Genomic DNA, 12,761 nt, shown 5'->3' with positions numbered 1-12,761 from the left:
CAGTGAGCAGGGAGCTACACAGAGAGCCCTAGAGACCTGCAGAGGCTTCCCCTAAAATCTTTGGCCGGACAATGATCTGCACGTGTCGGAGGAAACTACTTGTGGCTAGAAAAGAACCAGTAAAAATTCCTGGGCCAAAAACTTCCCAGAAATCACTCAGGGTGGGGAATACTTTGTGTTACTACCAGCTAGTGTGGAAAGACCTTGCTGCATAGCATTGGATGGAGCCCTCAGAAAGGTGTCACCTTAGTGGAAAGGCTATATGAGCCCTATTATGAAGATCATTCTGGGCTTGCTTTATAAAGCACAAAAGTAAACCTGAAAGGATCAAACCGATCCCAAGAAATGTAACTGTGTGGCAGAAAGTCCAATATTCTTTTTTTTTTTTTTTTTATGGAGTCTCACTCTGTCGCCAGGCCGGAGTGCAGCGGTGCCATCTTGGCTCACTGCAACCTCTGCCTCCCGGGTTCAAGTGATTCTCCTGCCTCAGCCTCCTGAGTAGCTGGGACTATAGGCACATGCCACCACGCCCAGCTAATTTTTGTATTTTTAGTAGAGACGAGATTTCACCATGTTGGTCAGGCTGGTCTCGATCTATTGACCTTGTGATCCACATGCCTTGGTCCCCCAAAGTGCTGGGATTATAGGCATAAGCCACTGCAACCAGCTGAAAGTCCAATATTCTTGAAAAAAAAAATAACAACATCTGCACCCAAGAAACTAAAAATCACAGTTTCCATCATCCAGTCAAAAATTACCAGGCAAGCACATCATACAAGAGTTACAAAATACAAGGTGCCAAAATGTGATACAACTGAAAAAAGAAATAAACAAATTCCACGCTCCTCTTTTAGTAACTGATAGAACAAGTAAACAGAAAGTAAGTATAAAGAAGACCTGAATAACAAAATCAACCAACTTGACCTAACTGATATTAATAGAGCACTACACCCAAAGCCAGAAGAATACACAACTTTTTCAACCACATAAGTATCATTCCCCGAGATAGATTATATTGTGGATTACATAATAAAGCTCAATAAATTTTAAAGGATTTAAGTCATATAAAATATATTTTCCTATCAAAACAGGATTAAACTAGAACACAATAGTAGATGTCATAAAAATTCTCAAATATTTAGACCTATTAAGTAATCAATGTGTCAAAGAAGACATTATAAGGAAAGTTAAATATCTCAAACAGAATAAGAACGAAAACTCAATATTCAGAAATTTTGGGGATATATCTAAAGCGAAAGTAGAAGTTAGATAGAAACTTATAAAATTAAATGGTGATATTTGGAATTAATAAAGACCTAAATCAGTGATGCAATCTTCTACCTTAAGAATCAGGACAAAAAATGGAGAATTGTATTCAAAGTAAGCAAAAGAAAGGAAACAATAGAGATAAGAGTTAAACCATAGAGAGAGAAACCAGAGAGATAACTGGTCCAGACTCAGTGGCTCACACCAGTAACCCCAGCACTTTGGGAGGCTGAGGTGTATGGATCACTTGAGGCCAGGAGTTCGAGACCAGCCTGGCCAACATGGAGAAATCCCATCTCTACTAAAAATACAAAATTTAGATGTCATGGTGGTGTGCACCTGTAGTCCCAGTACTCAGAAGACCTGAGAGGCGGAGGTTGAGATTGAGCCACTGCACTCCAGCCTGATTGACAGAGTGAGACTCTGTCTAAAAAAAAAAAAAGGTAGTAGATAACTGAACAACAATAGAGAGAAGTCAATAGAACAAATTATAGCTGAGAAGAGTAATAATATTGATAGACCTCAAGCTGAACTACCATAAAAAAGGAAGAAGATACATAATATCAAGAAGGGAGGCATCTCATTACAGATAATATGCATATTAAATGGATAAAGAGGAAGCATCCTGAAGAGTTTTATATTAGTAAATTTGACAACTTAATGAAATGAAAATATTTGTGAAAAATACAACTTATAAAGTTAACTCAAGAAGAGAGGATAAACTGCATAACTAAATCTTTTAAAGAAATCATATTTGAAGTTAAAGCTTTTCCAATTAAAAAAACAAAACAAAACAAAACTCTACACCCAAATGTCTTCACTGTTAAATTCTAACAAATATTTAAGAAACAAACAAATTCAATTCTGTACAAATTCTTACAGTGGGATAATTCTCAACTCATTTTATGAGTTAGAATTATTTTATGACACCAAAATCACAGACATAAGAAAAACCTTCAACATAACTATATTTCTCATTAAAATAAAGCAAAATCCCTTAACCAAATATTAGAAAATTGAGTTCAGCAATATAAGAAAAAGATAAAAATATATCATGCATAAGTAAGTTTAATTTTAGGAATGCAAGTTAGTTTATCATTCGAAAAACAAAAATGTAATTTATTATATTAACAGATTAAAAAATAAAAATAATAAAAACATCTCAATATATGCAGAAAAAGCATATGGAAAAATTTAATGTCCATTCATGACAGAAAACCTCTATCAAATTAAGAACAAATGAGAACTTCCTTAACCTGGTAAAAGACATCTAGGAAAGACCCTTGGTGAATTTCATACTCAGTGGTGAAAGACTGAATAACTCTTAAGGTGAAGAACAAGGAAAAGATGTCTGCTTACACGATTTCAACTCAGTATTTTATTGGAGATTCTAATGATTCTAATAAGGAAAGGAAAATAAATGGAAGGAATTCAGATTGGGAAGGAAGAAACAAAAAACATAAAACAAAAAGCAAAGACAAATACATTATTATTATTCACCACATAATTGCATGATTTTCCCCTTATTTTTGTTTAGTGGTTTATAGCAAGTCTTAAAATCAGACAGTAAAGTGTCTCCAACTTTGATTAATTAATTAATTTATTTATTTATTTGAGATAGAGTTTCGCTCTTGTTGCCCAGACTGTAGTGTACTGGCACGATCTCGGCTCATGCAACCTCCGCTTCCCAGATTCAAGTGATTCTCCTGCCTCAGCCTCCTGAGTAGCTGGGATTACAGACGCCCACCACCAGACTCGCCTAATTTTTTGTATTTTTAGTAGAGACGAGGTTTCATCATGTTGGCCAGCCTGGTCTCAAACTCTTGACCTCAGGTGATCCACCCGCCTCAGCCTCCCAAAGTGCTGGGATTACAGGCGTGAGCCACTGCACCCGGCCGATTTATTTTTAAAAATTGTTCACATTCTCAGATGTATTTTAGAATTAGATTGTCTATTTCTAATCATCCCCTCAGTCTGAAAAAAAAAAGCCCTCTGAATTCTGATTGAAACTATATTGAATCTATGGATCAGTTTGTTGGAATTTCTATCACCAAACACACTATAAATGTACAGACAAATGAAACGTGTTATTTTCTGGTAGAATTATACCAGAGCAAAAATTTTAGTTATCTAAATTGTTTGGAAAAATCAAAGTGCATGTTTGGCTGGAAACAGCATCCTGTGTATCTTGGGTAGAATCACTGGTGTCTCTTTCACAGAACCTCAGGGATACGAGGGCTGGAGAGCAGTTTTGGGCATTGCAATTTCACCGTATTCCCTGCACATCAGTAAACGTCTATTTGTAAGTACCTCTCTAGGAATAGCTCTATTCTGCATTATGCAATTCTTTGTAACAAGTTTGAGATACATTTGATGAGAAAATAGTAATACAATATTCTCTATTGTTAAGTTGTGAGAGCATCCTTTTCTGGGGCAGGATTGGCTGCATGTCATGCTAGCTGGAAGTGGTGTGGCTTTTCCGATCTATTCCATTCTGATTCCTCATTGATATTCCTTCTCATGAGTCTAACACTGGTAAAACCTCTTTTTTGGGCACCGCATGAAAAAAATAGGGTTTGAAGACCTTTCCCTCTTCTGTGCAATTCTAGATAAAACCCGTATGATGTAAAGAGCATAACTTACTTTGAAAATGCCCAAGTTTGTTCTTCAATAGGAAGCACATGTTAAAAACAGAGAAGTTCTCTGATATCCTTTGGGGGCTCTTCAAGGTTTCCAAGGAAAAGGCCCAGACACTCACACTGAGAAATAGGTCAGTGGAGGGGGTGGAACTGAACGTCCCTCTTCCCCCCTGTTGCTCTTTGCTTGCTCACAGGTACTTGTGACTGACTGGGATCACAGGGAGTTAGGGGACTCATGTCCAGCTTCAAGCAGTGCAGTTTTTAAAATGGCTAGAGGGGAGAATAAAATTTATAGGTCTGAATATGTTTTGAAGTGACTATGTAAGCAATTGCTGCCAATTTATATGTCTGAGTTTCTGATTAAGTTTCCTTTTCTAAGTCATGTTTTAAGAGGATAGGTGGAGATTAGTGAAAACTTTTGTCTTATCATGGTGCTCAGTAGTGTCCCCAGCCAGAGGGTGTCCAGCCTGCAGCATGTTAGAATCACCTGGGCACTGCCTGCCCACATTCACGGTGAATCAGAATCTCAGGAGGAGGGTGCTGGCATCAGTGGTTTTTTTCAAAGTTCCCCAAGAGACTCTAATGTGTGGTCAGGGTTAGGAATCATTATCTCTACCTTAAAGGTATTACATGTCCTAGAGATACTATCCGAGTCTTATCTGGGATTTATGTTTGCTTTTCTGTCTACAAACCTTGCCTAACAATCATCACCAGTATTTTATAAGCCCCATTATCTAAAGTCTGCCTTTATCTGGCATAAAAGCTGTGCCAGGCACCAGCCAATAAGCACGTTAGGTTTGGGCTTTAAATGGATTTTTATAAACATTGAGTTCAGGTACCTAAGAAATAGAAGTCGTGAAAATGTCATCTTCTTAACTTACTTTTCTGCACCTCAGAGCACGTTTGTTGCAAAAATCACTTTCTCAGACATTCATTTTTTATGTAATTGTGTGAAAACTGTTGGGGACCAGACCTCTTCAGTTCCATTTAGTGTTGCAGCAAATATTCATGTTTGCCAAGCATAAACCTTTGAAAATTGAATGAAATTTGTGATATATTACGAAGAAAGAAGAATCCAAAAGCTTAAAGAATAAATGCATTTAAAAAAAAAAAAAACTGAAAGACTTGGGATATTGAAAAAACTCGGTGCCACCCTGTCCTGGGCACTGTCGTGCCTGTTCCCTGGATGGTGTCATGCTCACTCTCTGGGCCCTCCCCATTCTCTTTTGCTTTTCCCCTCCACGCCTTCATTACCTTTTTCATTTCAGCCTAGGCTCAAGTTTTTCTTACCAAGAAAGCCCATTCTTGAGCCAACATTCCCGTTTAGCTACTGTTCTTTTTCTTCCCTTTGTGTATATAATTAAGCATACATTACACTGTAAGTGATAGAGAACTCAACCTCAACTTGCTTAAGAAAAAAACAAGGCCTCATAGTCTAGATGCAGACTTAGTACAAGGTTTTTTTCTCTCCATTTCCAGTTCCTGTGTCCTTGGTGTCAGCTTTATTCTCAAGCTCTATAACTGTATAAAAAGGTTGCTTCGGCTCTAGCCTCCTCGTTTTATCCCCATTCTTGTTCATTAAGATAGAACTTGGTACTCAAATATCCAGGAAAATTTCAGGTCCCGAGAGGGTGTAGCCCTGAGTGGACTGACTGGGATGGTCAGGTGCCTGTTGCTGGCCCGATCACCATGGCCAGGGGTCCACATGCTCTGGTTGCACTGAACTTAATCACTTGTTCCATCCCCCAAGTCCAGGGCTGGGGTCAGCTTTACACAGATCACAGAAGCTGGAAACGTGGTAAGAACTGTAGTCACAGTAAAAGAGAGCGAATGCAGGGAGGGGGGCAAGAGCAAATCTCCACTATACCTGTCTTGTGAGATTCTATAAGGACTAAGGAATATTCTTTTCTTTTTAAGGAAAATAAGAGAGGAAAGATGGGAGAAAGGAGAAAAAGAAAGAAGAAAAGAGAAGTCCATACCAGTTCTTCTCAAACTTTATTTTTATTTATTTATTTATTTATTTTTTTATTGATCATTCTTGGGTGTTTCTCGCAGAGGGGGATTTGGCAGGGTCATAGGACAATAGTGGAGGGAAGGTCAGCAGATAAACAAGTGAACAAAGGTCTCTGGTTTTCCTAGGCAGAGGACCCTGCGGCCTTCCGCAGTGTTTGTGTCCCTGGGTACTTAAGATTAGGGAGTGGTGATGACTCTTAACGAGCATGCTGCCTTCAAGCATCTGTTTAACAAAGCACATCTTGCACCGCCCTTAATCCATTTAACCCTGAGTGGACACAGCACATGTTTCAGAGAGCACAGGGTTGGGGATAAGGTCACAGATCAACAGGATCCCAAGGCAGAAGAATTTTTCTTAGTACAGAACAAAATGAAAAGTCTCCCATGTCTACTTCTATCCACACAGACCCGGCAACCATCCGATTTCTCAATTTTTTCCCCACCCTTCCCGCCTTTCTATTCCACAAAACCGCCATTGTCATCATGGCCCATCCCCAATGAGCCGCTGGGCACACCTCCCAGACGGGGTCCTGGCCGGGCAGAGAGGCTCCTCACTTCCCAGTAGGGGCGGCCGGGCAGAAGCGCCCCTCACCTCCCGGATGGGGCGGCTGGCCGGGCGGGGGGCTGACCCCCCCACCACCCTCCCGGACGGGGCGGCTGGCCAGGCAGAGGGGCTCCTCACTTCCCAGTAGGGGCGGCCGGGCAGAGGTGCCCCTCACCTCCTGGATAGGGCGGCTGGCCGGGCGGGGGGCTGACCCCCCCACCTCCCTCCCGGACGGGGCGGCTGGCCGGGCAGAGGGGTCCTCACTTCCTAGGGGCGGCCGGGCAGAGGCGCCCCTCACCTCCCGGACGGGGCGGCTGGCCAGGCGGGGGGCTGATCCCCCCACCTCCCTCCCGGACGGGGCGGCTGGCCGGGCGGGGGGCTGACCCCCCCACCTCCCTCCCGGACGGGGCGGCTGGCCGGGCGGGGGGCTGACCCCCCCACCTCCCTCCCGGACGGGGCGGCTGGCCGGGCAGAGGGGTCCTCACTTCCCAGTAGGGGCGGCCGGGCAGAGGCGCCCCTCACCTCCCGGACGGGGCGGCTGGCCAGTGGGGGCTGATCCCCCCACCTCCCTCCTGGACGGGGCGGCTGGCCGGGCGGGCTGACCCCCCCACCTCCCTCCTGGACGGGGCGGCTGGCCGGTGGGGGCTGATCCCCCCACCTCCTCCCGGACTGGGCGGCTGGCCGGGCGGGGGGCTGACCCCCCCACCTCCCTCCCGGACGGGGCGGCTGGCCGGGCAGAGGGGCTCCTCACTTCCCAGTAGGGGCGGCCGGGCAGAGGCGCCCCTCACCTCCCGGACTGGGCGGCTGGCCTGGCGGGGGCTGACCCCCCCCCACCTCCCTCCCGGACGGGGTGGCTGCCGGGCGTAGACGCTCCTCACTTCCCAGACGGGGTGGCTGCCGGACGGAGGGGCTCCTCACTTCTCAGACGGGGCGGTTGCCAGGCGGAGGGTTTCCTTACTTCTCAGACGGGGCGGCCGGGCAGAGACGCTCCTCACCTCCCAGACAGGGTTGTGGCCCAGCAGAGGCGCTCCTCACATCCCAGACAGGGCGGCGGGGCAGAGGTGCTCCCCACATCTCAGACATGGGCGGCCGGGCAGAGACACGCCTCACTTCCTAGATGGGATGGCGGCGGGGAAGAGGCGCTCCTCGCTTCCTAGATGGGATGGCGGCCGGGCAGAGACGCTCCTCACTTTCCAGACTGGGCAGCCAGGCAGAGAGGCTCCTCGTATCCCAGACGATGGGGGGCCAGGCAGAGACGCTCCTCACTTCCCAGACGGGGTGGCGGCTGGGCAGAGGCTGCAATCTTGGCACTTTAGGGGGCCAAGGCAGGCGGCTGGGAGGTGGAGGTTGTAGCGAGCCGAGATCACGCCACTGCACTCCAGCCTGGGCACCATTGAGCACTGAGTGAACGAGACTCCGTCTGCAATCCCGGCACCTCGGGAGGCCGAGGCTGGCGGATCACTCGCGGTTAGGAGCTGGAGACCAGCCCGGCCAACACAGCAAAACCCCGTCTCCACCAAAAAAAAAACGAAAACCAGTCAGGCGTGGCGGCGTCCGCAGGCACTCGGCAGGCTGAGGCAGGAGAATCAGGCAGGGAGGTTGCAGTGAGCCGAGATGGCAGCAGTACCGTCCAGCTTTGGCTCGGCATCAGAGGGAGACCGTGGAGGGAGAGGGAGAGGGAGGGGGAGGGGGAGGGGGAGGGAGAGGTCTTCTCAAACTTTAAACAGTGTATGAGGCTGGGCACAGTGGCTCATGACTGTAATCCCAACATTTTGGGAGGCCGAAGCAGGTGGATCACCTGAGGTCAGGAGTTCAAGACCAGCCTGGCCAACATGGTGAAACCCTGTGTCTACTAAAAATACAAAAATTAGCCAGGCGTGGTGGTGCATGCCTGTGATCCTAGCTACTCTGGAGGCTAAGGCAGGAGAATCACTTGAACCCAGGAGGCAGAGGTTGCAGTGAGCTGAGATTGCGCCACTGTGCTCCAGCCTGGGTGACAGGGCAAGACTCTGCCTCAAAAAATAAAAAAGTAAATAAATATAAATAAATAAACAGCATATGAATACTTGGTGATATTTTTTAAAAGAAGATTCTGATTCAGAAGTTGTAGTATGGGGCCATGTTTCTGCTTCTTGAATCAGCTTCTGGAGTTGCTGCTGTGGCTGTCAGGAGGCCACACTTTTTTTTCTTTTCCTTTTTTTCCTACTTGATTCAATTAGAATTGCATTCAATTTCACATTAAGCCAGAGTTGTGGCTTAATCAAAAAAGCGGTTCATTTATTTAATTCAACAAGATGTTTGGGTATAGGCATTTGGGAGTTAGTATGGTACCTCAATGATTACATCTGAGAACAAAGCTTATTCTATCATTTGTTTTAATATCTTTAGTGAAGGCTGCTCTGCATCCATGTTCCAGGGTAGTGAAAGGAGAAAATAGAAGAGACAGCACCAGAAGACTATGGCTAATATCTCGTTGGGGAGACTTTGTCAAAGAGACCACACTTTGAATTAGCAAGCTGTCTGAAGCCTTTACATTCTGCTTACATCTTTTCAATTGAACCTGCACCAATGACTTACCAAAGGAGAAGTTAAAAACCAAAAAGCAAACAAACAAACAAACAAACAAACTCAGAGATGCTACTCTCAGTTCTACTGAAATAGCAATAATAGTAATAACATCACACACTGGTGTCAGGCATCCTTGTTAGCAGTGTTTTTGTACACATTGTGGCATTAATGCTGTAGTAACTGTGAGGTAACCATTGCTGTCAGAAAGGTTGTAGAAGCAGCAGAGTCTCAGAGAGTTTCACCCACTCACACATTGTTGCACAGTTGGTGAACGGTACTGCCAAATGCAAACTGAAGTCTTTTGCTTTTGAGTTCTGGGTCTTCATGAGAATATCACTATATAATACTGTGAAAAATAACAGGCTTTGCTGTTTTAGCAATCTCTTTTTTTTCTTAATTCTGGCCACTGATTCTCAAGTGGTAAGTATAAAAGTTGTTTCTAGTGTCAGTGCCTCTAATGCGAAGGCTATTACTAAGCCAGCTTAAGAGAAGCATGCCTTGCATTAGTCATACTTACCTGCATTCTGCACCGTAGACAGACCAGACCCGCAACCTCAATTTATAATCTTGATCTACACAAGAAGCCATCACAACGATTTGCAAGCTGTTGTAGCAAAATTTAGTCAAGAGAAGGTATACATTAAACCGTGTTTGGGGAGTGTTCTTGCTTCTTGGGATGTCTGCAACTGAATGTGGATGATGACGGTGGGGGGAGCACTTCACCATTACTTTATGATTGGAGTTTGGCAATGGCCAAATCCTGTTTCTATACTTGAACTTGTGTGTTGTCTACTGTGGTGTGTGATGACAATCCACATCCTTTCTTTGAATGCCTTCCCTCTTCTATCACCTCCAAGACTTTTCAGATTCTCTCCACCATTCCTCACATCTCATCCCTATCTTCTTCACTTGACTTAAGCTCCTTCTTGCCCATAGATCTGTATAAGTTAGGGTTTACATACAACACAGCAGCAAAAAGCCCATCTCACAGTGTCTCATGCTCCATCTCTCTGCTGACCCAACAGAGCTCTGTGTTCATGCCTTACTTGCTATAGAATGCACCTACCTTCTCCCTGGGGACCGGCCTGAGCCCATCTCATTCAGGCCAGCAGCTGAGGGCCTGAGATCTCTGCACCATGCCATTCTCCACAGCTGCTCCAGATGTGGCCCTCAGGGGCTGATGGCTGGCGGACAGGTTATCCACTCCCCGGCTTCAGTATATGCTGTGGGCAGTGGGGCGGAGGGAGGAATAGAACAGGTTTAATAAGAGCCAAGCAAGCAAGCAAAGACTCGTTAGAGAACATGGAGATTTTGAAGGACACAGTCATCACTGGTCTACAATGCATGGCACATCCTGATGGGCAAAATTATAACTCCTTCCACTGGAATCAATTCCTTGGTTAAGCAATTTGGTAGCTCTAGACAGCTTTAGCTGACACACTTTTGGGGGCATTTGTTGGGGAGATTTTTCTGCCTGTAGACCTGGAAGTTTTAGCTGCCCTCTTCCTGTTAGTGTCAGATGAGAGGCTCACAGACTGCTTTAAAGTTTAAAAGTCACAGACAGTAACTTTCCGTATTTGGACTTTCTTGTGTTTACAATTCATTCATTTACTCACTCATTTATTCTTGTGCACATTCAAAATATTTACTGAGCATCTATTTTGTGCTAGGCATTTTCTTTCTAGGCACTGGAAATCAATCAGTGAATAAAAAACAAAGTACTGGCCTCAGGGTTCTTCCTTTTTAGGAAGGAGAGAGAAATAAAGGAACACATTAATATGTGCAGCAGCAGAAAGAGAGTTGTAGCTACTGGGAAATGGTGCAAGGGTGGGATGTGGTGTTAAATAGGGTGTAGGGAAGCCCTCACAGCAGGACTGAGGCCTGGAGGGAGCGAAGGAGCCTCAGGAACAGAGCACTACACGCAGAGTGTGAGCGCAGAGGCCACAGGTCGGAGCTAACTAGGCACTGTGTGTTTAAGGAAAAGCAGGGAGCTGGTTGGGCAGATGTGCTGTACTGGGGTGAGTGGAGAGCCGCAGAGACACCTGAGCAGCAGTGGGCAGTCCGGGTGGTCATGGCAGCAACGTTGGCTCTACTTTGAGCAGGAGAAATATACTGGGGATTTCCAGCTGAGCAATGACAGATCTGATTTATGTTTGAAAGGATCATTCTGGCTGCTTTGATCTATTTAGAAGAGAGAAGGAGGAAGACTAGAGGCCAGGGACCTGGAGGAGCAGCGGAGAACTGTTTCTACTGTGGATTTAGGTTGAAGGTAAGGAAGACAGATGTCATGAACAAATGGATTTATAAGGTGAGCAAAAAGGAGAAGAGAAGAACTTAGAAATCACTCGCTAGATCCCTTTTTGCCGCTAGGTATACTCTCCCTAATCCATCTCATCCATCTTTTGAATTTAAATTGTATCCATACAATGATGACTCTCAAATATTGGTCTCCCAACTAGACCTCTGCCATGAACTCCAGATGCACACACCCAGCTGCCAACCCCACATCTCCCCTTGATCATCTGATAGTCTATCTGCTTTATCTTCAACCTATATCCACAAGAACTCCAAAGCTCTTGGCCTAGATGAGTGCTTCCTCACAGGAGAGTTGAGGAAGTTGCCTCCCTAGGGATCATTTAACAATGCTGATGCATTTTTGGTTGTACAGCTGGGGAAGGGGGATTGCTATAGGCATCTTGTAAGTAGAGGCCAGGGATGCTGCTACACTTCTTACCAAGCATGGGACAGCCCCTCACAAACATCCATAGTGCCTGGCCTAGAAGAAGAGTTTTCGTGTACCAAGATGTGGAAGAATGGAAGGGGTGTGGTTGTGGGGAGAGACTGGGAACTCAGGTTGGACAGGTTAGGCTGCAGGTGGCTATCAGATGTTTAGGGGCAGGTAGCTGGCTGTGTGCATCTGGAGTTCACAGTAGAAGTCTTCTTGGGAGATCAATATTTGGGAGTCATCATTGTGTGGATACAATTTAAATTCAAAGGATGGATGAGATGGGTTAGGGAGAGTGTACCCAGTGGAAGAAAGAGATTTAATGTTTGAATCCCAATTCACCCAGACATCTGGAGATCGAGAGGTAAGAATGAAACAGCAAAAGAGACTTAGAAAAGGCAAATGAAATTACAAGGTCCTAGGGGAGGCTTCCCAGAGCCCAACAAGCAATACTTTTAGGTCTTCAGGAGTAATAACCTGTGGGCAATGCTGTTGATAAGTCAAGTAAGATGATGGTGGAAGCAGCATTTGACTTTGCAAACTAGTTACCCATTACTATTGCTCCAGGTGCAAACATGGAGGCAGAAGCCCAGTTGGATTAGCATCCAGAAAGACAGTGAGTGGGAGAAGGGATAAGAGGGAGTGACGATGGGTAACATATCCAGAGGAAATGAAAATGCCCATAATCCCCAAACTCTGACAAATATTTTTGTGTACTTCTTTTTCATCTTGCTTGTGTATATACAACTGGGATGTGATTGACGTTAAAGTATCTATGTAGTGCTGATGCTGGGCTTTTTAAAAAACCTGACATCGTCCATAATGTTTATAACTGTATAACAATATACAGATTTGTAACTATATTCGTTCCCATAACAAATCACCACAACCATAGCATCTTAAACAATACAAATTAGTTGTTTTACATTTCCATGGGTCAGAATTTCCATGTGGGTCTTGCCTGGCTAAATCTAAGTGTCAGCATGGGTGTGCTCCTTTCTGGATG

At 45.1% G+C, this 12,761-nt stretch overlaps 1 protein-coding gene across 8 annotated transcripts in view, besides 1 other annotated feature; it reads left to right on the top strand.

Annotated features, from left to right (window-relative positions):
* The window catches only part of PXDNL (peroxidasin like), a 489,869-nt gene that overhangs the window by 267,799 nt on the left and 209,309 nt on the right, over nt 1–12,761 (top strand). The window contains exon 2 of one of the 8 annotated variants that reach the window (XM_011517458.3): nt 3,486–3,568. The exons of the other annotated variants lie outside the window; for them this stretch is intronic. The gene's annotated coding sequence lies outside the window, so the exon portion shown is untranslated. The remainder of the gene's footprint in view (nt 1–3,485; nt 3,569–12,761) is intronic. 8 annotated transcript variants of the gene reach the window in all.
* Nucleotides 7,447–7,982: an enhancer, noted in NCBI's record as "H3K27ac hESC enhancer chr8:52446225-52446760 (GRCh37/hg19 assembly coordinates)". NCBI's record gives its function as "activates a minimal SCP1, AML or CMV promoter by ChIP-STARR-seq in naive H9 embryonic stem cells {active_cell/tissue: H9 hESC(naive)}" and the evidence as "EXISTENCE:reporter gene assay evidence [ECO:0000049][PMID:30033119]".

The sequence above is a fragment of the Homo sapiens genome, chromosome 8 (assembly GCF_000001405.40).
Source record: "Homo sapiens chromosome 8, GRCh38.p14 Primary Assembly".
NCBI classification, from domain to species: Eukaryota; Metazoa; Chordata; class Mammalia; order Primates; family Hominidae; genus Homo; species Homo sapiens.
The sequence above is the reverse complement of the archived record's forward strand: the minus strand, read 5'-3'. Positions and strand labels throughout refer to the sequence as shown.